Source organism: Homo sapiens, chromosome 13 (genome assembly GCF_000001405.40).
Source record: "Homo sapiens chromosome 13, GRCh38.p14 Primary Assembly".
Classification (NCBI taxonomy): domain Eukaryota; kingdom Metazoa; phylum Chordata; class Mammalia; order Primates; family Hominidae; genus Homo; species Homo sapiens.
Genome location: NC_000013.11, coordinates 107,428,251 through 107,455,566, shown reverse-complemented (window position 1 = coordinate 107,455,566; position 27,316 = coordinate 107,428,251). Strand labels below are relative to the sequence as shown.

The 27,316-nt window shown below is 38.4% G+C and overlaps 1 protein-coding gene across 1 annotated transcript in view, besides 1 other annotated feature; it reads left to right on the top strand.

The window, feature by feature from the left end:
- The window catches only part of NALF1 (NALCN channel auxiliary factor 1), a 703,987-nt gene that overhangs the window by 411,930 nt on the left and 264,741 nt on the right, over positions 1 to 27,316 (top strand). The window lies entirely within an intron of this gene.
- Positions 19,692 to 19,986: a silencer, noted in NCBI's record as "tiled region #7214; HepG2 Repressive non-DNase unmatched - State 24:Quies". NCBI's record gives its function as "represses a minimal TATA promoter and a strong SV40 promoter by Sharpr-MPRA in HepG2 cells {active_cell/tissue: HepG2}" and the evidence as "EXISTENCE:reporter gene assay evidence [ECO:0000049][PMID:27701403]".

The window sequence follows — 27,316 nt, the reverse complement described above, 5'->3', positions numbered from 1 at the left end:
TGTAAACTATGAACTCTGGGTGATGATGATGTCTCAGTGCAGGTTCATCAGCTGTAACAAACAGGTCACTGGTGTGGGATGTTCATAGCAGATAGAGGCAGGGTGGTTGTACATGGGTGTGGTCACAGGATATATAGGAACTCTATGCTTTCCACTCAATTTTGCTGTGAAACTAAACATGCTCTGAAACTATTTTTTTTTAAAAGGCAAAAGATTTTCTTAAACATAGAATTTTTGAGGTGTCTGATATTAGTTATGATTATTGTGTTGGTCCGTTTTTACACTGCTATAAAGAAAACCACCAGAGACTAGGTAATTTATAAAGAAAGCAAGTTTAATTGACTCCCAGTTCTGCATGGCTGGGGAGGCCTCAGAAAACTTACAATCATAGTGGAAGGGGAAGCAGGCACCATCTTACATGGCAGCAGGTGAGAGAGATATGCGAGTAAAGGGTGAAGAGCCTCTTTTCAAACCATCAGGTCTCATAAGAACTCACTGACTATCATGAAAACAGCATGGAGGAAATTGCCCCCATGATCCAATCACCTCACTCCCTTGACACATGGGAATTAATGTTTGAGATGAAATGTGGGTGGGACACAAAGTCGAACCATATCAATTCTTCAGAAACATTTTCATTTTCATACTTAAAGATTTAACTCTTAGCAAACAATAGTAATAGTAACCACAGTAGTCATGAAAAGAGTCTATAGGGCCCAGTTAAATAGCCTAAATGGCTGACAATCCTAGGAGAGAACTCTAGGATGAGTCATAGAGACCATGTTCTATCCAGAAGGGTGCTATGCAGCTGGTTTCAGGTAGAAACAAAACACAGGCTCAGTATTTCTAGCTTTTCAAAGTTTTCAAGAGAAGTGTGAAAACCTCTCAATTTGAAACTGTGTCTCACCATTAAGAAAAATCCTGCAGGCCAAAACATATACAACTGTGATATGGTTAGACTTTGTGTCTCCACCCAAATATCATCTTGTGTTGTAATCCCTATAATCCCCATGTGTCATGGGAGAGACCAAGTGGAGATAGTTGAATCATGGGGGTGGTTTCCCCCATGCTGTTCTCATGATAGTGAGTGAGTTCAAACGAGATCTGATGGTTTTATAAGGGGCTCTTTCCCACTTTGTTGGGCACGTCTCCTTCTAGCCACCTAGTGAAGAAGGTGCCTTGCTTTCCCTTTGTCTTCTGCCATAATTGTAATTTTCCTGAGGCCTCCCCAGACATGCTGAACTGTGAGTCAATTAAACCTCTTTCTTTTATGAATTACCCAGTTTGGGGCAGTTCTTTACAGTAGTATGAAAACGGACTAATATGGTAAATTGGTACCAGCAGTGGGGTGCTACTATAAAGATACCCGAAAATGTGGAAGTGACTTTGGAACTGGGAATCAGGCAGGTGCTGGAATAGTTGGAAAGCTCAGAAGAAAACAGGAAAATGTGGGAAAGTTTGAAACTTCCTAGAAACTTGTTGAATGGCTTTGACCAAAAAGCTGATAGTGAAATGGACAATGAATTTCAGGCTGAGGTGGTCTGTGATGGAGGTAAGGAACTTGTTAGGAACTAAAGGTGACTCTTGCTATGCTATAGCAAGGAGACTGGTGGCATTTTGCCCTTGTTCTAGAGATCCGAGGAAATTTGAACTTGAGAAAGATGATTTAGGGTATCTTGTGAGAGAAATTCCTAAGCAGCAAAGCATTCAAGAGCTGACTTGGGTGCTCCTAAAAGCATTAAGTTTTATGCATTCACAAAGAGAGGGTTTGGAATTGGAACTTATGTTTAACAGGGGAGCAGAACATAAAAGTTTGGTAAATTTGCAGCCTGATGATGTGGTAGAAAAGAAAAACTTGTTTCCTTAGGAGAAATCCAAGCTGGCTGCAGAAATTTGCATAAGTAACAGAGAGCTAAATGTTAAATATCAAGACAATGGGGAAAATGTCTCCAGGGCATGTCAGAAGTCTTCATGGTAGCCTGTCCCATCACAGGCCTGGAGGCCTAGGAAGAAAAAATGGTTCTGTGGGCCAGGCCTAGGGGCCCCTTGCTATGTGCATCCTTGGGACTTGATGCCCTGTGTCCTAGCTGCTCCAGCTGTGGCTAAAAGGGACCAAGATACAACTCAGGCCATGGCTTCAGAGGTTGTAAACCTCATGCCTTGATGGCTTCCATGTGGTGTTAGCCCTGTGGGTGTGCAGAAGACAATAATTGAGGTTTGGGAACCTCTGCCTAGATTTCCAGGGATATAGGGAAATGCTTGGATGTCCAGGCAGAGATGTATTGAAGGGGCGGAGCCCTCATGGAGAACCTCTGCTAGGGAAGTAAAGAAGGGATATGGGGGGTTGTAGTTCCCACAGAGGGTCTCTACTAGGGACCTAGTAGAACTGTGAAAAGAGGGCCACCATGCTGCATACCCCAGAATGGTAGATTCACTGACAGATTGGACTGTGTGCCTGGAAAAGCCGCAGACACTCAATGCCAGCCATGAAAGCAGCCAGGAGTGGGGTTGTACCATGCAAAGCCAAAGGAGTGGAGCTGTCCAAGGTTGTGGGAGCCCACCTCTTGCATCAGCCTGACCTAGATATGAGACATGGAGTCAAAGGAGATTATTTCGGAGCTTTAAGATTTCATTACTGCCCTATTGGATTTCAGACTTGCATGGGGCCTGTAGCTTCTTTGTTTTGGCCAATGTCTCTCATTTGGAATGGGTGTATTTATCTAAGGCCTTTACCCCCTTTGTATCTAGGAAGAAACTAACTTGCTTTTAATTTTACAGGCTCATAGGCAGAAGGCTTATGGTCTCAGAAGAGACTTTAAAGTTGGACTTTTGGATTAATGCTAGAATGAATTAAGAATTTGGGGGACAGTTGGGAAGGCATGATTGGTTTTGAAATGTGAAAGGGACATGAGATTTTGGAGGGGCCAGTGGCAGAATTATGTGGTTAGGCTTTGTGTCTGCGCCCAAGTCTCATCTTGAATTGTAATCCCGATAATCCTCACATGTCCAGGTAGAGACCAGGTGGAGGTAATTTAATCATGAAGATGGTTACCTTCATGCTGTTCTCATGATAGTGAGTGAGTTCTCATGAGATCTGATGGTTTTATAAGGTGATTTTGCCCATTCACTTGGCCCTTCTCCTTCCTGCCACCTTGTGAAGAAGATGCCTTGCTTTATTTTCACTTTTCACCATGATTTTAAGTTTCCTGAGGCCTCCCCAGTCATGCTGAACTGTGAGTTAATTAAACCTCTTTCCTTTATAAATTACCTAGTCTTGGGCAGTTCTTTATAGCAGTATGAAAATGGACTAATAACACACGTAAGGCCATGTGCCTATGGATCACCAGGGTTTTACATTTTAGAGTAAGATATGGGCAGGAGGAAGAGATTGTTGAGGCATCCTGGGCTAAGCACAAAGAGCTGAGCTAGGAAACACCCATCCATAAAAGTGGAAGGAGGAGGGAGCAGAGGAGGAAGAAGCCTCAGTGAGGTCAAAGAAATACACTATATGGATAGACACATGATAGAAAGGACAGAGAGCTAGATATGGATAGATGGATAAGAGAGGGAGAGAAAAAAAATCAGTATGAAACCAGGGACACCAGTAAAACAGAGGTCCTGCAGATGGGGTGAATTACTTTGGGAAACACATACCCTCTTTCTGGGATTTGCATCTCCACAGTAAGAAAGAAGAGAATCCACTAGGTTTGGCCAGTAACGTTATTATCGACCTTTGATAGTCTGGTCTTAGTAGAGCAGAAGTATCAGAGATGTCACTTAGAGAGGAGGGATAGACAAAGAGGGTGCAAAATTGGATAGAGCGATGTGCAATGTATTAAGAAGTTTGAGAGTTAAAGAAACTGAGCAGAAATGTGAACAGAAGCATAATGTTTTTCTGGGAAAGGGAAATCTGTTCGAGTATACAGCACAAGTGAGAGAACCAGTGAAGAGGAAAGAGAATAAAAATGCTGATGGAAGAGAAAGGAGCTGAAATACCTGGAGCATGTATTCAGACATGCTGCTTATCCTAGCTATCTTTAACATCACACGGTGCCCTGTTATTTCATAAGCGTGTATGGCTAACACTCTTTATCCACACACTCACGACTCCATAACTGCTGTTTGTTCTGAGAACTATAACCCACAAATGACCAGGACACAATGTTTTATTATAAAGGTTTAAATCCGTCTAATTTAGCACATGTGCCTCAAAAGAAGATGAAATAAATAGGAGGGGGAATCAGGAAAACCTGACTGCTTCACAGCCATGCTAGATCATCCTCTCACCACGCTCAAGTCTCCACAGTTATGAATCTTACTGGCGGGTCTTTCTATCTGGCATCTGCCTCCTGGCGTGGGGAGAAGCAAACATTTCCGCTTGTGGCCGCGCTGGCAGATTCTCACCATCCCTGGTTTCCTGCCACAGAGCTCTGACCCGGCTTTTGCTGGACACGTGGGGTCGACTCAGTGGAGCACAGTCATCCTAATTGCCTCCCTTTGGGTTTTTATTTCATCTACAGGGCGGCTGGTTTCAGAAGGTTCACATCCTTTGTATAAGCAAAATAATGTGAAATCCAGTGTTATTTCCTGTGCTGTGACTCACACCCCATCTGGGAAAATCAGGGATGGAAACATCATCTCCAGGGCACAAAGTATTTAAAATTTAACTCGTCATTTGAGGTTTTCACAGCCAATTCAAAGCCTATATTTTCCATTAGTTAAATATTTAGTATTGGCAACATGAATTTGGATTCTTTCGTCTTCTTGCAAATTATCTGTTTATAACTATTAGTGTTGTCTAATGAGGTTGGCAATAATGAGGACTCCTCTCCAACGACCAGCCCCACTTCATTTCTCCATTTTAAACCAGTTCCGGCCACAGACGCTGGGGATTCACCCATGGCATCCCCAAGAAGCCTTGCACATTGCAGCCTTTCTCGCCCTTGATTCCCCTCTCCCTGCATCAAAAACTCTTCTGTCTCCTAAGCATTCTCACACTTGGAAGTACTCCAGGAAGCAGCCTAAACTTAATGCTTCCCTTTTCACATCTTATTCCTGCGCTTCATCCTCCTGCAGTTGGTTTTCTTGAACCCCACTGCAAAAACAGCTCTATTCACATCTCAGCCTTCACACTCACCAGATCTCCCACAGGCTTGTGTTGGCTTGTCTTTTCAGCCCTGACCACTCCCTCCCATGCTGGCCACAAAAGCCACCTTCTCCCCAAGGCCCCCAGTCCCCGTGGCTCTATGATGGGCACTTTCTTGTTTTCCCACATTCTTCTTGGTGACTCCTTTTCTATCTTTCTCAATTCCTCCCTTTTGTTTTCCTCAGTCCTTCAAATATGGGTGTTCTTGGTCTAGCTTCTGGCCACTCTTCCCCTGTGTTTTCATCTCTCCCTTAGGCCAGCCCTTAGTCCTGTCTTCTATACAAAGCACTAACTGGAAGGAATCACTTAGCTTGGCCTCCAGAGGGGACAGATGATAGAAGGCCTGCCATGATTTATGTCATTATTTAATCTCTTGGCCTTATATATATCACCCGTTTATCCACCCCCACCTCTTCCTGCACAAACACTTTGAAGAAAATTGCTGATGCCAACTCTGGCCAGAGTACCCTAGCAAATGAGAGTGTGTTCATGGAGACAGCCTCCTCTGCCTACTTACTAGCTGTGGAATTCTAGGCATGGCATCCAGCTCTGTGTGACTCTGTTTCCTTAACTGTAAATTTGGAATGATGTTGATAACATCTACTTCAGGTTATTGCACCAATCAAATTATGTGCTATATTTAAAGGACCGAGAATAGCCTCCAACACATACTAAGTGCCGTGCGAAAATTGGCTATTATTATTTAATGCAACTTTGCTGCCTAGCCTACATTTCTAGACCAATTTCTCTTCTGAACTCCAAGGCCAGATTGATGTCTTAACCTCCAGGTTCCCCAAGATCTTCACAATAGATTCAAAATAAAATTTCTCTTTACCGACTTCTACATATCCGCTTGTGCATTATCTTCCTAGACTTCTTTTTTAAAAGGCATGCTATATTTTACCAGACTTCTTGCTTGAAACGCCTCACTTTTATTCTTTTTAATCTCTTTTGTCGTCCAAATACACCCTTTGCAATTTTACCTCTTCCTTTTTCATCCATTTCTTTCTTTATGTTTCCATTGTCAATAATCTAGGTCAGTCATCCTTCCTACTTTTGATTTTCAGGAAGTCTCTCAACCTGTTCTTCTTGTTCCAGTTTCACACTCCACCCAAGACATCCCCTGGGTCTTGCACACTGCACCCGTGTGATGTTCTTTTTTTTTTATTCTTTTTTTGAGACAGAGTCTCACCCTGTTGCCCAGGCTGGAGTGCAATAGCATGATCTCAGCTCACTGCAACCTCCGCCTCCTGGGTTCAAATGATTCTCCTGCCTCATCCTTCCGCGTAGCTGGGATTATAGGTGCCCACCATCACGCCCAGCTAATTTTTGTATTTTTAGTTGAGACGGGGTTTCACCATGTTGGCCAGGCTGGTCTTGAACTCCTGACCTCATTTGATCCGCCCGCCTCGGCCTCCCAAAGTGCTGGGATTACAGACATGAGCCACTGCACCTGGCAGTCGTGTGATGTTCTGACAGCATAGCTCTGCTCTGCAGGAGAGTTACATGGCATTTGGCAGAGGGAGGACTGCTAGCAAAAGTCCCGTCAGCTCCTCTCACATCAGCTTGAGAAAAGTGGTACCTACATAAACCATAGGGAAGGATATGATAATATTCTGTGTCCTTGGGACTCGAATTTGTATATCTATTGTGCCACTTTCAGACACTTTCAAAGGCAATTCCAAGGCTACTTCTATATACAAATATGGGTGCGTGATGTAGTACTAAATGCTTTGTCACCTAAAACAGCTCCTTGGGGATAGTAGTTGCTCATTGTATGTTTCTTGAGTGAATGATCAGTAATGCATAAAAATACATGACGAAAATGCCAGTATATGTGACATGCATATGACCATTAATCTGGACATGACCCCTCCTGGACATTACCCTTCCCAAAACTTCCATGTAAATATTATATAAATATCCTACTTCTCCACTTGCAGAGACAAGACCAACTCTTTGCTAAAATAGAATGACGTGGTCCAAGGTGCCAGCATGTCAAAAATCATCTCTCATACTTTCATAACATGAGACTTAAAATTCCTAATACTGGGATTCTCCTTAAGGTATTGGAAACAGATGGCCATTGCTAAAAATTCAAATTATCTCTTTAATATATCTGCAGGATTTTTTTTCTGGTTAAATTAGCTCCAGTCGTCACACAGTGGCTGGGCACAGGTGGACAGAAATGTGGCCTGATACAGACCCTCAGCCAGGAATCGAAGGTATGAGCCAGTGATGTGGAAAGTGGGGTCAAGACACATGCTGAATGTAGAACTCAAGAAAGAGCAGAAAGCCTGACTGAGAGGCAGGGGCTCGGGCTAATGAACACATTATATAAGAGAGGAAGGGAGCAGATTTAAGTCTACAGAAACTGTCAGAATGTAGGCACAAGGCAGAGGGGTCAAAGTTGCCCTGTATTTGAAAGAGCAGGCATCAGTTCCCCAGAACCAAGAAGTGGATCAGAAGACTTTTAAATGTTTCTGACTTCAGCAGGACTCTACAACTACCTCCAAAGATATAGACCAGCCAAAGTCAAATGCAGAGAGCCCACAGTGATTTACCATTGGTAAATCATTGGCAGGTTTTGATGATGCAGGTTCCGTGGCTACTTGGAAGAATGTAATGACTCTGGGCTTTGATTCTGGGTGTCTGGCGTCGTGCAGGAGAGTAGAATTGACTGCAGCTGCTGCCACGGAATTAGCTGGACAGAAGACACAGTGTAGATCCTGTTCTTTGGATCAGTGATCCATTGCCACTTCCTTCTACTTTCTGTGCCTGCTTCCTCACTGTGAAATGGGAATAATAATGACAGTGCCCTGAAAGAGCTGTAAAAAGGAATAAAGAAGCTAAAACATAAAGAGCTCAGAATGATGCCTAGCATATTGGTAAAGCTCAGTAGAAGCTAGCTCCCGGGATTCCTATGTGTTATGCAGAAACCTGTGGGTATCCAGCAGATTTTATCACCTAGTAAAAGAAATGAGCATCTTATGGTGACTGGACTCAGAATGATAGGTTTTGTTGAAGAAAGGAGAGATGGAATTAAGAATGTAACAACACCTGTAGGTGGTCAGGACTTTCAGGTGAGCTCTGCACGGGAAGGGCCAAGGCAGGACAAAATCAGCCAGATTATCGAGTGATCTTGCTGAGATAAATACAAATAAACAAAAAGAAGAAGGAGAAGGGGAAGAAAGAAGAAGGGAGAAGGGAAAAGAAGGAGAAGGAGAGAAGGAGGACGAGGAGGAGGCCAAGGAGAAGAGGAAGGAGGAAGGAGCTGCTGGCCCCTCCGGCCTTAACCAGCTTAGCAAACTTGGAAGAGGGAATAGAGAGCATTAGTGAGGGCTGAACAAACACTTTTTCAAATGCAAATCCCAATACGGTACTTCATTTGTTCATCAGACAAATATTTATTTGATGTCTCCAATTTATCAAGTACTCTGCTAGGTGTTAAGCATACAATGGTGAGAGAAAGACCACTGTTTTTAGTCTCATGGAGTCAAACATGTATCTATTGGCTTAATATTCATGTGATTGTTTCAGACATGCCAGAATTTTTAAGCATTAATGCTTCAGCACAAATGACTTACTCTGCAATTATTTAGCAGGGCTCTCTTTTTTTCTTATATAGGACATAAATAGTAAGATTGCAGAACAATGTGGAAGATGAGAATTTTGACATAGATCCTATGTATTCTCTCAGAGATGTCTTTATATCAAAGTGTGAATGAACAAAAATTAAGAAACAGAAAGTGTTAGGAGTCACCACTATAAATAATATTTAAATTTTGAGAAAACAATACAATTTTCAGAAAATTAACCTTAAAAATAAACAAGTAAACAATATCACAAAAATATTCTATGCTGCCATGAAATATAATAATGTGGAATAATAATGGTGGATAAAAAGATGATACATAGTATGTTAAATTCTAGAAAGTAACGAGCACAGTATCATACAGGGTGTAATTCCAATTTAGTAAAAATATGTGTGTGTGTGTGTGTGTGTGTGTGTGTGAATTTAATTATGGCATTGTTACTAGTAGAGATTTCAGATGTGTTTTTCTTGCTACTTCTCTTCCTTGTTGTGTAAGCACAAAAAATGTTTAGGAAATAGAACATAAAAGATGAACAGAATTAGAAAAAAGAATTATCGGAACTTTATTTTCACTATAGAAAGCAATGTGAGCCGGGCGCAGTGGCTCACACCTGTAATCCCAGCACTTTGGGAGCCTGAGGTGGGCAGATCACAAGGTCAAGAGATCGAGACCATCCTGGCGAACATGGTGAAACCTTGTCTCTACTAAAAATACGAAAATTAGCTGGGCATGGTGGCGTGTGCCTGTGGTCCCAACTACTCGGGAGGCTGAGGCAGGAGAATCGCTTGAACCCGGGAAGCGGAGGTTGCAGCGCACTAAGATTGCGCCACTGCACTCCAGCCTGACGACAAAGCGAGATTCCATCTAAAAAAAAAAATCTGTCCCAAATATAAATGTGACCAGTATTTTTAAAGCATTATAATAAAAAGTCCAAATAAAGAATAAATCACAGGTGAATTGGTGGCATTATGCCAATTAAAAATAATTTTTTTCTGCTCATCACCAATAGCCATTTGGGAATGCAAACTGTGGAGAGACAGATAACACTACGATGATATATCACTATGTACCTATCAAAATGGCTACAATGAAAAAATAACACTAAATGCTAATGAGAATGCAGAGAAATGATCACTCACATATTGCTGGTAGGAATGCAGAATGTCACTGACATTCTGGAAATACTTTGGCAGTTTCTTTTAAAACTAAACACATACTTACCATATGAACCAGTAATTGCAATCTTGGGCATTTGTCTCAAAGAGACGAATTTGTATTTACACAAATACCTGTACACGCATGGTTTTAATAGCTCTATTTGTAGTAGCCCAAAACTGGAACAACCCAAATGTCCTTCAATGAGTGAATGGTTAAACAAACTGTGACGCATCCATACTAGGCAATAGAAAGGAACAAATTATTGATACAAATGGATGGAGGTCAAGAGAATTATACTGAGTGGAAAATAGCTAGTCTCAAAAGTTTACATATGACATGATGCCATTTGTGTAAAATTCATTAAACAACAAAATTAGAAAACTGAAGACTAGATTAGGTCAGGGACTTCGGAGAGAGGGCAGAGGGTGGCTGTAAAGAGCTACTTTAAGGGACTACAGAGTCATTCTGTACCTTCATTGTGGTGGTGACTCCTTGAAACTACACAAGTGATGGAATTGCATAGAACATACACACACACACATGCATATACACCCATAGGTGCTTGTGGAAATCTGAAAATGCTGTGGATTGCACCAAAGTCAAATTTTTGATTTGGATACCTTACTATAATTATGCAATATATCACCACATTGCAGGAGGCTGAAAGAACGTCTCATGGAATCTCCTTGTATATTTATTTTTTTGCAACTTCCAGTAAATCTATAATTATTTCAAAATATAAAAAAAATTTCTGCAACTGTGTTTGTAGGAGTAGATGAAGTAAGATTGGGAAAATATTGATATTGTTGAAACTACCTAAAAGTAGCTGCAGGATAATTACACTATTATATGTATGTGGAAATCCAAAATAAAACACTAAAAAGTTAAGTACTAAAAATAAAATTTCTAAAATTATTTATTCTGCACAAGACTTGTATAAATATGGTGTTCTCCTTGTTTTAGAGAATAATTAAGGAAAGAAAACTTCTTGTGAAAAGTGGGAAAAAGCTGTATAAACATACTCTGCAATCATGACATAGCTCTATTATAGCTCGTCAAAACAAGTAAGGGATTGTTTGATCATGTGGGTCCATTCAAGTTTATTCTGGGCCATAAATTATGTTTTATTTTGTTATTAACAGATTTTTTGCATTATTCCAACTCTCTTATTTATAGAATAAGTATACTAAGATATGAGAAAATAAAGTTTAACTCTGGTTTGCTGAGTTCATAGTTGCCACTCCCCTTCCCTATAGAAAAGCTCATACAATCTCCTGATATTTGTGGACAACAAAAATTTGCCACATTAAATTACAAGCTCAAACCCATCAATCAATGTAAGTCTGCTACAGGGTGAAGAGACCAAGTCAAAGACTGCTCTACATAGCTTTTTTTCTTTCTAAATAGTAAAAACATTTGTGAAAATTTATGTTTGCATTGCATAAAATAATATTACTAGGTAAAAGTGCCCAGTTAAAGTAATGTGCCAAGTACAAATGTCTTTTTCTTTATCTTAGCATAATAAGCTGAAAGTTTTCATTATATAATTAGTAAAGGATTTTTGTGGTTATTCTGTCAGTAAAATAATCCTAATTTTATTATCAATTTTTGTCTTAGACATATCAAAGTACTCAGGTATATGCAAGAAAAACTGGGAAAAGATAATTACAGGAGAACCAAAACTAAAAAGAAAATCATTTTGTGTGATTAATATGAACACTGAAAATGAAATGCCTCATGTTGCTAATAAAATCGGAAGCTGCAAATTTAAATATATTATCAGAAGAACTGCTTGAATTATGCTAAGCACATTAAGCACATTTACAAACAAATTAAATATTATTATTTAAATATTTCTCTAGGACCCCTTCTCATAAATTTAATAACACCAACCTAGCAAATATTTATTTCAATCATGGTCACTCAGTACCTATTACATACTGTCATGGTTTAATCACAACTAGACTGGGATTACCTTTTCTAAACACACCCATTTGCAAGTGGATGACTCCAAAACTTTTACCAATAGCTAAGCATAATTGCAAATCAATAAAAATTAGTTTAAAGAGAAAGTTTTCTGTATATTTGGACTTATTTTTAAGTGAGAATTTTTCTCACAAATAAACATTAACATTTAAATATATATTGTAGGCTGGGCATGGTGGCTCACGCCTGTAATCCCAGCACTATGGGAGGCCGAGGTGGGTGGATCACTTGAGGTCATGGGTTCGAGACCAGCCTGGCCAACATAGCAAGAATCTGCCTCTACTAAAAATACAAAAAATTAACTGGGTGTGATGGCAGGCACCTGTAATCCGTACTACTCGGGAGGCTGAGGCAGGAGAATCACTTGAACCCCGGAGGTAGAGGTTGCAGTGAGCCCAGATTGCACTATTGCACTCCAGCCTGGGTGACAGATCAAGACTCCGTCTCAAACTTACATATCGATAGATAGATAGATAGATAGATAGATAGATAGATAGATAGATAGATAGATTGTTAGATAAATAAATAATAAATTTATGTTGTAATGTTTCTGATACTATTGTAATGAATTTTTCTTTCTGAGGTAAATTTGCTGCATGTTCTTTCGCACTTTAACCCACCACAAATGCTGCCTTCTTAATATGAATTATTATAATGCATCCAGTAACTTTTATTTTAAAACATTTTTATTTCACTATTTTATGTTATTTATAGACTACTCCAATAAACTGTTGTTCTATGCCCTATTTTTAGACACAATTTTAAAATATTCTCTTGCGTTATATGAGTCTGCATTCTTCACTTGGTTTTTAACCGTTATATCAATAGTTAAAACTTTAACCATTATATCAATGCCGATTTGCCATTTTCTTTTGATTTGTCACATTGATTCACTTTTTTACACCAGCATTTTAAAAATTGTGACTTAAAACCTTTTTAATATGAACCAAAGTTTTATTTGAAGTGAGAAAAATATTGGTTTTCTTAATATCTCTCCTTAAAAAAGTTTTTAAAAAATTGATAATTCAAAAGGTTTGCTGGAGGACAATTGTGGTTAAATATCAAGAGACATCATTATTTTGACCCTGATCACATCCAATGACAGGTATCTTTGTCTTTAAAAATTCTTCCACTCGTCTCAGGCATCAACTTCATTAAACGCATTTACCTGTGCAGTGAACAAAAGCCTATTTTCATTATGTGAAAAATTGAAAGATACTCCCAGGCCAGCAGACTTGTTAACTAGGGGTACACAGACAACAAGAGAGCCAAGTGAATTGGCAAAGCTGGTCTTTTGCTTTGCTTTTCATAGTTTATTTATGCAAAACATAATTTATGGAACAACTATGTATTTAGGTGCTTGTATATAGCAGTGAACAAAATGGACAAAATTACTGTCTGAATTCTAAATTGTTCTTACTGAGACCTAAATCTTGCTAGGATCTCTGGGCCACCAAGAGAGCAAGGCTCATAGTCTCTTGCTCTCCCTCTCTCTCCCTCTTTCTCCTAACGAGTTTTTCAGGTAACACTTTATTATTCCTGCCTATAGGCTGCCTGCCATGCTCACCAGGCACTTAAAGCTCTATTTCAAATCTCACCCTCCAGAAATATTCCCCAAATAGCACTCTTTGGGGCAATCCATCCTATTTTGGCTCTCTTAAAAATATATGTTGGTCTCTAATACTTTAACTTTGAGTTCTTACTGTATTTGACATTGCTATTTTATCATTTTATTTATATTGTTTTCTCTGTCTCAGCCTCCTCCTCATGTGGTTTTATTCAGTTGAATATTTCCTATTGCACATTCACTTATATGATCAAACCTACGGATTTTGTGCTCCACCAAAAGGAGTCTTTGCCTATTAATACCCCTAGAGGGGCAGATTGCCCACTAAGTAGTAACTGGTCTCCTTGCACCTATCTCTACCTCCCAAGGGTGCCAGCTGAAATCACCCCATTCCTTTGCCCTCTACAATTCTCTAGTCCTAAATGTGTAACTTCCTGTTAACCATTCCCTCCTGAGTGCCCTGTTGACGTCTCACATTCAATAAATTCTAAATTCATAATATTTCTTCTCCTCCCTTTCCCTGGAATTTCTAGCCTTCCACTTCTGTATTTAGCAGTATCATGTTCCCATTCACCCACACAGGGAGTGAATCTTTGACTTCTTTGCTTCATTTTCCTTTCATGACTAAGTCCCATTATTCACACTTCTTCGGTATTACTCACAGCAGACTCTGCCTCTCCATCACCTGATGCAAAAGCCTAGAATAGGCCATTTGCTCATTTTATACTGTAATGATCCTCACGTTGCCTTAATTTACCTCAGGTTAAATTCCTCAATAGATCCAGTCTAGTCATAGAAATGAACAACTTCATAGTTATTGACTTACATACTTCAGGTGGTCATGTCTGGTCTGACTTGCTCTCATCTTCTGTTGGTTGGACCAACAGTGAAATATATCAATCTTGTCAGATATCAAATATTGTCACAGTTTTCTGTCTCTGACAGAGATGGTGTTGGGGGCAAGAGATAGAGTCAGTCTGATATTTTTTAATATGCTGAATTTTCTGGGATTTGGCCAATATGACAAATTATACAAAAGTGGATACTTGAAGGGTATCCTAACAGACCTTGCAACATAATTTTTGAAAACATTGGTTTGGAGGTTGGAGAGAGATCTTTTAGGTAGCATCTACCTGTGGTTAGATGACATATTGCAATCTCGTGACCAGCTTGCTTTGGTTAAAGAGAGGGGCGGTCTTGTTTATTTATACCGAAGTTGCCGAAAATTATAACTAAAAAGCTTGCCATAAACTTAGATTAAGGCCATCTCTGAAGGAGCTCCTTGGACAACAACACAGCATAGGAACTGTGAGACAGGTTCAGCCTGATGACAGAAATTGACGAAAACACCTAGATTTTAACTTGGAGAATTCGGTTAGTTCACAAAAATCCAATTTCAGGCAAGATTCTGTATTACCATCCTCTCAAATAAGAATAAACCACAAAAACACGTGCAGAATCAGCAGATGCTCAGTTTTCTAGTATTTAATTACCTCTCCTCCACGCATTAGGCTTCAACAATCGATCTACTACTCACTCAGAGAACACGGTGTCCTCTTCTCTTTCTCTCAAAACTCAGCGCAAACATTATGACTGACTTTAAAAAATGTCTTCTGCTGCTTCTCTGACCCTTGGAACAGTACATAGAGTGATGCTAAGTAACTATTTGTTGAATAAATGAAGGAATGTGGCACATTCTTGCAAGCTGGCTTCGTCGCGCCACCTATGCGAAACTTTAACACATCTCAGTCAGAGGGAATGTATTGAATTGATATTTCCATGCTTTAGTTAATACGTTTCTCTCATCTTCCACAGCTACTCCAACCCCCACCACGTCTTCCATAAAATCCTTTCCTCAACTCAGATAAGTACAGTACTCCACTCTTGTCGACAAAGTGTTTAATTGTATTACAAAAATACCTAGAGAAATTAGTCAATATTTCAGAATTTCAAAATGTATACCACAAGCCCCTCATTGATAACCTAAGGTTGTTGAACTAGAAAATCCCTTGGATGTCTTGTTTCTATTATTCTCTAATTCTACATAAACCGAACTGCAGTTATAATGGACAAAATCAGATATTCCAAAATATTAAGTGAAAGTATTTTTAAGTCCAAATATTAAAACATACATAAAATTAAAGCAGGTAGGTTTTTTTTCTCTTAAATGGTCAATGACCTTTTTCCAACAGTTAAAGAATAATGCAGCCAAGGGTGAGATATTTTGCTTTCTGCTCTGACCCTCTCTTTCCCCTACTCAGAAACAACTCACAATATTCCAGGTAAATTTATTGACTTTGGCAACAAAAACTTAGTGTCACTGTGAAGGTGGTTTATTGTCAGAAGACAAAGAAGTGCTGAAATCATGACACGTACTCTGAAAGTGGAGTGACTCTGGTTTACCTCCATCTACATGAAAGAAAAGTTACCTAACAAGAAATTTGAGAGTTTTTCAGATCAATGAGATCTATCTAATTAGAGAAAGATAATTCATGAGAGAAAGAATATGGAAAGGGGATGGGACAATATTGCATTTGGAGAGGAGCCCTTCTTTCTGTAGATAAGGCTTTTTTTCTTAAAACCACAACCCAAGGGCACATAAAGTATTTTTAAGATAGCTGGGAAATGTCATTCTTCACTGTGAAGACCTAGTCCAACATATCAATATCCACAACAGCAGAACCAGAGCAGTGGCAAGAACTGAGTATTGGTGAAAACCAGGTTTAAAGGGGAAGAACAGAGGAAGGTTTGTTAGTGCTGGTCCTATAGGTAGCAAATGTTCTCACCATTTTCCTTCCAGGAAATTGATTTGTATTTTTCGTTAGATGTTATAACCCCAACATCAGCCAGGTGGATGTGATATCACACTAAGTATGAGGACTGAGGTTCTCAGAGTATGGTAAAAATATTTTCTCTGTTTTTAGGCTCTGGATACTAAATTAACACATAAGTCGATTACAATGAGATAACCAATTACCCTAGAACTGTGGTTGCTAAGCATTAAATATATATAATATAAAAGTATAACTATCTGTGAATTCTTTAAAATATGCGTGTGTTTTAGCTAATGCGTTGTGTGAAGTTTCTTTCTCTCAACTTTTATTTCTAATACATGACATTTCTGAATTCAAATAAAAATACCAAAAACATAAAAAATATACCTTAAAATGAATGATTGTGATATATCTAAGATTTTATTGCTGGCATACCTTGTCAAGTAGTCTTTTTTAAAAATCAAACATCGACACCCTTTATATTATTCTTTTTTTTTTTTTTTTTTTTTTTTGAGATGGAGTCTCACTCTGTCATCCAGGCTGGAGTGCAGTGGTATGATCTCAGCTCACTGCTGCAAACTCCGCCTCCTGGGTTCACACCATTCTCCAGCCTCAGCCTCCTGAGTTGCTGAGACTACAGGTGCCCACCACCAACCACACCTGGCTGGTTTTGGGTTTTTTTGTTTTGTTATTTGTTTTTAGTAGAGATGGAGTTTCCCTGTGTTAGCCAGGATGGTCTTGATCTCCTGACCTGGTGATCCTCCCACCTCGGCCTCCCAAAGTGCTGAGATGACAGGCATGAGCCACTGGGCCCAGCCTATATTATTCTTAAATTCAGCTCTGCAAATTTGAAACAACTCATGTCAGATTGCAACATAAGAGATACTTTTCTGCCTACTTCTGTTTCTAGGGCAATTTGGCAAGCATTATAGAAGTTATTTTTCAATAATGTTTCTAATCCCTTTGTCACTTTACAAAACCAGCAATTCTTAACTTTAAGCAGATCAGATAAACTTTTAAATATTCTTGTCCAAAATAAATAGTATACATTTTCCTCTTCAAACTAGGATATCTAGAACATCTGAAAAAAATATTGGGATTTAGTTCTTTCTCAAAGATGAATTTTCTTTCTTAAGGAACATTTGACTTGTGTTAACCTTGGTGAGTATTTCTAGAATTCTCCATTTATAATCAAGTCATGCAATATAAGGTGTACATTTCAAGGTTTATAATTTTTAAAACATATTCAGATCACTCAGAATAATTTACAACCATGTAGAAAAACTGAAAAATACATTGGATGTCCACATACCCATCACATATGTTATATAATTAACATTTTACTATATTTGTTTTATATACATACATTAATTTGTTCTTCTATCAATTTTGATGTATTTCAAACTGACATCAGTATACTTCACCAATAAATGCTTCAAAGGTCAATATTTGCTTTTCTTTTGCTCTCTCTCCCTTTCTGTTTTCGAGGTAAAATGTATATTAAATGAAGTGGTGCACAAATCTTAAGTTAATACTGTATTTTGACAAATGTGTAAACCAGTGTAATACAAATATCAATTTTTAGAATATTACCATTGCTCCCAAGAATGTTCTCTTGCCCCTTTTTAGCAATAGCCATTCCTTTTCTCACATGGTCTGCCATTGAGTTCGCTTTGGCTGTTCTGACACTTTTTCTAAGTTGGATTGTAGAGGATGGATTCTTCTGTAAAGTTTTTGAGATATTCCCATGGTGTTGTATGTCCGTAGCTGCTTCCTTTTTATGTCTAGACATCTTTTTGTGTATGTGTACCATGATTTGTTCAGCCAGTGTGCTGTTGAGGCACACCTAGATGATTTCTAGTTTTTGACAATTATGAACCATATGAATAATCTGCAATAAGCATTCTCTTACAAGTTTTTGTGTGGTCCTTTTTTTATTTTAAAGGAAATACTTAAGTATGGAAAAACTGAGTCAAAGGACATGAATATGTTTCATTTTATAAGAAGCCGCCAGGTCATTTTTCAAAGTGATCGGACTATTTTACCCTACCAACAATACAGGATAGTCAGTGTACCCCTGCATGTGGGGCAGGTTTTGGTGGTATTCGTTTTTGTTTTTTAAATATTGCCCTTTTGTTGAGTATGTGATGGTGTTTCATTGTGCTTTTAATTGGCATTTCTTTAATGAATAACGATGCTGAACATTTTTTCATGTGCTTTCTTGTACATCTCTTCTTTAGTGAGGTGTCTGCTTGAATCTTAGGCCTATTTGTTTAATTGGGTTGCTTACGTTTATATGATTGGGTTGTAGAAGTCCTTTGTATGTCCCGGATACCACTTATTTTCAGATATATGTCTTTAAAATATTTTGACAAGTCATGTCTTGGCTATTTATATTCTTAATATAGTCTCTTGATGAACAAAAATATATTGTTAGTACATAAAACAAAATAGATTTTTGCTTACTGGCCTTGTATTCTGCATTAATTCTAATAATTGTTTTATAGATTAATTAGATTTTCTACATAAACAATCATGTCATCTGCAAATACAGTTTTACTTCTTCTTTCTAAACTTTATGCTTTTTTGAAATTTTCTTGCCTTAGAGAACTAGTTAGGAACTCTAGTACAATGATAAATAAAAGTGATGAAAGTGGACATCCTTATCTCATTCTTAATTGTAGGGTGAAAATGTTCAATATTTCCCTGTTAACTATATGATGCCAGTTGTTAATTTTTTGGTAGATGCTTATTATAAAATAGAGGAAGTTTCTTTTTATTCGTTGTTTCCTGACAGTTATTGTCATGAATGGATACTGAATTTTGTCAAATGCTTTTACTGCATTGACTAAAATGATCATAGGTTTAAAAACATGTTGTTTTGCTTTATTTTCTTGTTTTTGTGCTAATACTGTGAATGACAGATTTGTTTTCAAATATTAAACCAGTCACATTGTCTGGGATGATCTCCACTTAGTCATAATGGTTACCCTTTTAATACATCAATGGATTCTACCTTTAAAAAAATCTAGATTCAAGGAGATGTTTTGTAAATTGTTTACTTCCTTTATTTTCTCAGCAAAGTGAATTTTCTCTTTGGAAATTTTTCTGACCTATTAATTGTAACTGCAAATCTTATTTCTGAGAACAGGTTTAGGTTTAGGCAGTTATTTAAAAATGTTTTAAGAAGAAATGACTTACAGAAGAAATATATTAATCCATGCACAAAATTCACTGGCTAATAGCTTACTGTTGCCGTTGGTGTGTCTTGCCCTCGGAGAACTTTTGACCTAGTGATTTTATAAAGATGGCACCCCTAATGGGGTGAACTCCTTACCCAGCTTTGTATGTGACAGACAGCTCAGTTTCTCAACAGTGTTGGGCTGCAGCTTTGTAGCTCTGTGGAACTGCTGCCATGGTATTCATAGCAATGAGAAAACTCAGCCCCAGGTTAAGTAGGTTGCAGAAAGGGCTTCCTAAGAACATGGAGAAGTGGCTTTTGTCAGATGGTTGTTCTGTTTATGCAGTATCTTCCCCCCCTCCCCCGCCGCTTTCCTTCCCCCTTAATTCTTTCTCACACTCTTTTGTTATGAAAGATGTAAATACTTATCAAAAGTTCCCACATCTCAGGCATCAAATTGTTAGTTATTTCAAGTGCTTCCTTTTCATCTTTGAGAACACTGTACCATCAGCCTGTTTGAATGAAGTAAAAAAGCTCAAGTACTATTGTAATAATTTTTTTAAGGTAGGAATTGGCTGGGTTAATAACTGCATTGAAACTGATAGGTTTGTCAGCAAGTTAAAATGTAATTATTTCATGAGTGGAAGATAAACTTTTACATCCCTATATAATCCTGGAGTAGCCGTTTAAGAAACAGATTCACCGCTGAGAGAAATGAAACAGCCAAAACAGCTGTCTGCGTGTATTAATTTAATGAAGGAAAACACCTCAAGTGGGTCTGCTGACGCTGACGTCATTTGGGGCTAAGTAGACTTTTGATTTTTTTTTTTCTAATCAACCTCTAAGATGCTATTATTTTAGTATCTTCTCAGCTCCACAGCCGGAAAAGGTTTTTAGAACCTATGGAACATCTCAACGATTTGTTTTAGGGCCAGACCTATAGGAACATGCCTATTTTGTTCCTATACAGATAGGACTCTTTTTGACACTTTGGGCTTTTTGTCTGTGTATTTCTTATAGAGGCCAAATTACAAATGGTGCTAAGTTGCTAAGACTACCCCCCACCCCCAAATCTTACTAAACCCATCATAGAACCAAAGCAGGACACTTAATGGCAACAAGCATCTTTTAAACATACCTGTTGCCTCCAGAAATCCACCTGTTATTTGGTGAATATGACCATTTTGAGGCCAATGAAGTTGAGAAGATCGATGTCACAGAAAAAAGAATATAGCCAGGGGATGTCACTGTGCCACGTCAGGGTGTGTGTATCCCACTCTCATGTGAAGATTCATAATGATAATTACATTTACTGGGCATGGTTTACATTTTGGGCCTTCAGCTAAGCTCTTGAAATCTTACAGGGATTCTTAGAGATAAAATATTCTCTGCATTTGCAAAATGGGGCAAATGTATTATTGAGAGGATATTACAGTCTTTTAAGGGCCTTGCTTTTAAGTGGCAGAGCTAGAATTTAAAGAAAGATTTGCTGATTTTCAACTTCATGTTTTCTTCCGCTGTGATGCTGCCTCTTCGCATAGCTCTATTCCCATGACTTAGGTCCAGTGATGCAAGTTGTACTCTATCTGTGAGCATTTATTGCTGTTTATTTTGGAAAAAGCAGAAGTCACTTAGTGATTCAGGAGAGGTAGGCTGGCAAAATAAACTGAGTGTAAAATCTAAACCAATAACCTCATCCAAATCGTATGGTCTCCTACAATTCCAGTTAACATAAATTTCTGGTTAGTGTAAACTACACCTATTCTCCGTCTTTATGGATAGATAGAGAAAAGATCCCACTTCACTTACTGAGAAATAAGTAAAAGTGAGCATTAACTTCTTATGTGTCAATGATAATCAGGCTACAGTCAACTGGTATAAAATTCCTACTTTCACAAATATAGAAATTGAAAAATGAGAGTCCACTGACTAAGATTTCTTTGCATTTTAACACAATAATGGTCAACTCAATATAAAATGAGAGATTATACACCACTGAAACTAGACCTCTTATTCAGAATATGACAGTTGTAGAATTCTCAAATTGGCTATGCCCTTAGTCAATTTACTTCATCTTTTAGTAGAGCAGAAATATGCAGCTTCTCAGTTCTCACTTGATTTTTTTGATCTTCTATTACAGCCTCCTAGTTCAATGGAAAATTGATTTGTTCACATTTTCTAGTAACATAGCAATAAGTGGACAAGCCTTGCTTGTCTGTGAGATCCTGGGTCCTCTTCAAACACACAGCAATCTACCAGCTCCTAAGTGTTCATCTCAACATCCACCAGCAAATTTGCTGCTTGTGTGTTTCTTGAGATGGGTCTGTGTTCCAGCAGAGCATCTGGGAGTTCATTTAACCTTGTAAGCTAAGTGAAAAATGATCTCTAGGGAAATCTATTATTTCTCTGAGAATTTCTGATAGTATATAATCTGTGATGATGGTGCTTCTATCACGACACAAAATTAGAAGTTTTTTTTTTTGAATTTGTGCCTTAACTTTTTAATGTGTAGAATAGCAAATGTTTGTATTACATCATTTTATTGCACATATATTATCTTTCTTTTTTTATTATTTTATTATTATTACACCTTAAGTTTTAGGGTACATGTGCACAATGTGCAGGTTAGAAGTTTTAAACTGAAGAAATGGGAAGTGTATTTCCAGTTAAAAAATAACTAATTATCTCTTTAATATCCTTTCCATAATCTGTAACTCTAGATTAATTTGATATATAATGGGCAATCACCCTAGAAACCAAATCTGTGACTAGTTAAGAAGATGCAGCTTAAACAATTTAAATTGATTTATTTTAGAAGACACATTTATTCTAACCATAGACAGTTATCAGTTATTAGTCATTGATGTATGGCAACTGGTCTCTCTTCCAGCATAAAGTTATTATAATGTACAATAAAAATTAATTTAATCAATGTTTACTTCACAGAATTACCAAAATGGCCATTTGGTCATATTAACTACAGGTTCCAGAATTCTTCCTAGGGTCAGGCTGTTTTTGATAAGATGCCTCCTTAAAGGTAGTCTAGTTGTGACAAAAACAACAAGATAATAGTCAAATTTCTGGATAAGGTCAGACATTAAAGATTATCTTGAGATGAGAAAGAAAGAAAAGGTCAAGGGGTGAATGAGAGGGTTGAGGAAAAAGAGTCAAAAGGTGTGGATTTAAGGGACTCCCTGGGCTGCTGTGGAGGGAGTAGATTAAGAAGACTTCAGGAGATGAATGTCTAATTTACCATAAGTTATTTGCCACCATGAATATAAGTTTATTTTTTACCTTAACTATTGCCACACAATTATAAATGAAACCAATCATAATCTGAAGTTATGAATGGGCAAATTATTGAAATTCCAAAGAAAAATGAAGATAGCATAGGTAACAGGCTGGGACCAGACATGACTATGGGAACATGAGACCCCCAGGGAAATTGAAGTATCTTGTTGAGGGCTTTAAATTTACATTGACATCATAAAATTTTGGAGCCACCCCTTCCTCACATCCAGAGGTTGAAGGCTGGGGTGTAGTGGACACCTGACTTCCTCACAGTCACTCATTCGTAGCAGACATTCTACTTCTTGAATGCATATTTCAATCACCCGGGGAAGCAGCTGACACTTTCCAATGCTTAGGTCCTGCCCTGGAGACTCTGACAGTTTTTTAGATAGAACCTGAACATCATTACTATTTTAAAGCTTCCAGATAATTGTAGCATATAGCCAAGGTTGAGAGGCACTGATCTAGAGCTACTTTGCCAAGAAATTTGTGATGATAGTAATATAGTTTGGATATTTGTTCCCTCCACATCTCAAATATGATCCCCAGGGTTGCAGGTGGGGCCTGGTGGGAGGTGTTTGGATCATGGGGCAGATCCCTCCTGAATGGTTTGGTGTCAGCCCTTTGGAGATGAGTGAGTTCTCCAGAGACCTGGTTGTTTAAGAGACTGTGGCGCCTCCTCATGCTGTTGCTCCGGCTCCTGCCAAGTGAGATGCCTGCTCCCCCTTCACCTTCTGCCATGTTTGAAAGCTTCCTGAGGCCTCCCCAGAAGCAGATGACACCTCCACATTTCCTGGACAGCCTGCAGAACTGTGAGCCAAATAAACCTCTTTTCTTTGTAAATGGCCCAGTTTCAGGTACTCCTTTATAACAATGCAAAAAGTGTCTAACACAGACAGAAAATATATTGATAAAAAGGTGCAATGAAGTGGTCCCTCATGTTCACCGCAGGACATCAAAACTAATTTTAGCAACGTTTTTTGGTTTCTCCAAGGACTGATATAATTACTGCCATTCTAGATGCACTTTAGAGAAGTTAATTCACTACATACAATGGCCTTTTTAGAGCATTAGGACTTAATTTTCCTCACAGAACCCCTGTTAAGAAAGTCTGGTAGACAGAAGAGGAGCATTACAGAGAGTGAAACAGCAAGTCCAGAATGACTTATATTTGAGATACATTACTTAGTCCTGGAATAGTGCAAAGTCCTGGGTGCCCAGACCATGACGGGCTAGCATCCCTCACTCTTGTGCCCAGGAAGAACATAGCTAACTGGTGATGGCACTCTTGCAACTTGAGCCAAAGCTCTACCACACAGTCCTACTTAACACTCGTTCCTTTTAGCAGTGAATAGCCATTCAATTCAAGTTATGCTATGCATTCAAATGAAATGGCATCATGGCATTAGGCAAGGAGAACAAATTATTTGTTGTCCAAATTGAGATTGTGTGTTTGTGTGTGCACGCATGCGCATGTGTGTGTGTGTGTTTAGGAGAAACCATTAATAGTTACACTGAAACATCAATCAAGTGAGACCTCCTCAAGCAAACGGAGAGACCCACTCATCTTAGTGCTGCACAGGGAGGTGTGTCATTAGGAAGGACACTGTTTTTTAATAAGATAATGAATTTATTAGGACAACATGAAGAGCACCAAATTATGAAAAGGAAAGCAGTAGAGTAACTAGAGTATGTGCTCTGGAGTCAGACAGAACTGTGTTTGATAGAAAGCTCAATGGGCAAAGAACATGAACAGACACTTCTCAAAAGAAGACATTTGTGCAACCAAAAAACACACGAAAAAATGCTCATCATCACTGGCCATCAGAGAAATGCAAATCAAAACCACAATGAGATACCATCTCACACCAGTTAGAATGGCGATCATTAAAAAGTCAGGAAAAAACAGGTGCTGGAGAGGATGTGGAGAAATAGGAACACTTTTACACTGTTGGTGGGGCTGTAAACTAGTTCAACCGTTGTGGAAGTCAGTGTGGCGATTCCTCAGGGATCTAGAACTAGAAATACCATTTGACCCAGCCATCCCATTACTGGGTATATACCCAAAGGACTATAAATCATGCTGCTATAAAGACACATGTACACGTATGTTTACTGCAGCACTATTCACAATAGCAAAGACTTGGAACCAACCCAAATGTCCAACAATGATAGACTGGATTAAGAAAATGTGGCACATATACACCATGGAATACTATGCAGCCATAAAAAATGATGAGTTCATGTCCTTTGTAGGTACATGGATGAAGCTGGAAACCATAATTCTCAGCAAACTATCGCAAGGACAAAAAACCAACCACCGCATGTTCTCACTCATAGGTGGGAATTGAACAGTGAGAACACATGGACACAGGAAGGGGAACATCACACACCAGGGACTGTTGTGGAGTGGAGGGAGCAGGGGGAGGGGGAAGGGATAGCATTAGGAGATATACCTAATGCTAAATGACGAGTTAATGGGTGTAGCACACCAACATGGCACATGTATACATATGTAACAAACCTGCATGTTGTGCACATGTACGCTAAAACTTAAAGTATAATAATAAAAAAAAAAGTTAAAATATTAAAAAAAAAATCTCTTAGCTCTGCAGCTTCATTATGGCCAGTGCTGGTTATCTGAATTTTCTGCCTTTTTCACTATTATATTCCAACCGCTTGCTATGAAATAGCTTTTCAATAAATGTATTCGGATGTTTGGATACATGAATGAATAAATAAGTTCTAGAATCTTTCTTCAGTTGATTTTCCCTGCTGGGAATATATTCTGCAGAAATGGATATCTCTCTTAATATCAAGGCTCAGAACTCAATACCTAAATTCAAGTATGATCTATCAGCTCTTGTATAGGAAAGTTAAGCAGTCTCATAGGTTATGTGTTTGTATAACAGCTTTATTGAATTTTGCTCTTAATAAGCTAGGGCATAGAAAAATTCCAGGTCTTTGTGAAACAATACTGTCTCAAAAACTGTACATGTTTTTGAGATTGAACATGTATTTACATGTATTTATAGAGATTGTACATGTATTTATAGATTGAATTTCAGATCTTTGCATTTATCCTTGTTAAATTAATCTCAGGCACTTTAGTTCTATGTTTCTTCCACATTTGATTACTTTGGATTTTGATTCGGTCTTTATCATCTTGTTTCTTACTAGTTTCAAAGCACTGTATGTAGTCTTAAGTCATTGATAACCCTGTTGAGTAAGAAGGAGTGAAGGCAAGAGTTCAGTGCCCACCACTATAGTCTCTTGTCTCCTTTAATATTAGTTAGTTTATCAAACACTAGTGAGACTGGTTCTCCAGTGAGTAGCACATCAGCTCAATAGTGCTGTCACCATGCTCTGGTTTTATTGCCTTATCTAAACAGTATCTTAGCAGGGATAGGTGTCCTTTCCATTCTCCCTCCATTATTTTAGCGATTGGTGCTTTCCCTACAAATAATATTAACTTATATTTGGCATGTCAGCATAATAAACACATGGAACTATTTTGACTGCTTTCTAATCTTTTTTTTTTTTTTCAGACTGAGTTTTACTCTTGTTGCCCAGGCTGGAGTGCAGTGGCACAATCATGGCTCACTGCAACCTCCATGTCCCGGGTTCAGGCAATCCTCCTGACTCAGCCTCCTGAGTAGCTGGGATTACAGACTTGCACAACCACGCCCGGCTAATTTTATATTTCAGTAGAGAGGGGGGTTTCACCATGTTAGCCAGGCTGGTCTCAAACTCCTGACCTCAGGTAATCCACCCACCTCAGCCTCCCAAAGTGCTGGGATTACAGGCGTGAGCCACCGTGCCCGGCTAATCTCTTTTCTTTTAAAGATGTGAATAATCCAGACTGCAAGCATTTCAAAAATATGGTTATATTATTAGGACACAAAAATAATCTATTCATATTAAGCACCTAATAACAAGACTGAAGAATTGACCTTTGACTGTCTAATGATTCACTTAAGCCATTATATGGAAGGTTCTTCAAATAGTGTAAAAGGATGGAGGATTGTAATTAGCTGAAATTTTATTAATTTGAAGCATAACATACATAGTTTGTTAAAAGACCAAGAAGCCACCATAGACAATTAGCAATGGAATATTTATCACAAAACTTCCTCAAAAGCAGTGAAGTTAGAGGAGCTAGAGGTAAAGGTGTTTTTTGGTTTTGTTTTGTTTTTGAAAATACTTGCTTAGAGATCTGAGAATCCAGAATTTAACAATACACCACTGTCTCTCCATCCTAACATTTCCTATTGTTCTGTTGCTTGGCACCTTCTCTAGGGCTGTTTCCTGATTCTGGGAGGCCCTGTCCTCAGAATTTTAGGGCTGGAGGAGAACCTACAAATAATACAGTCACATACACTGCTCAAATTATAGATAGAATTGAAATCCAGAGAACAACTTTTTACAGATATGTTAATGAATCCACATTTCCTGATTTCCCATACAGAAGGCAGCATAGATCGCCTCAAAGCTCCCAAATGCTGGGTCTAGATTGCAAGTCTTCCAGTCCTGGTTAAGTTGTTTACAGCAGCAGTGCAACCTCGGGCATGAGGCTTATCGTTTCTAAATCTCAGTTTTATTATCTCTAAAATGGGA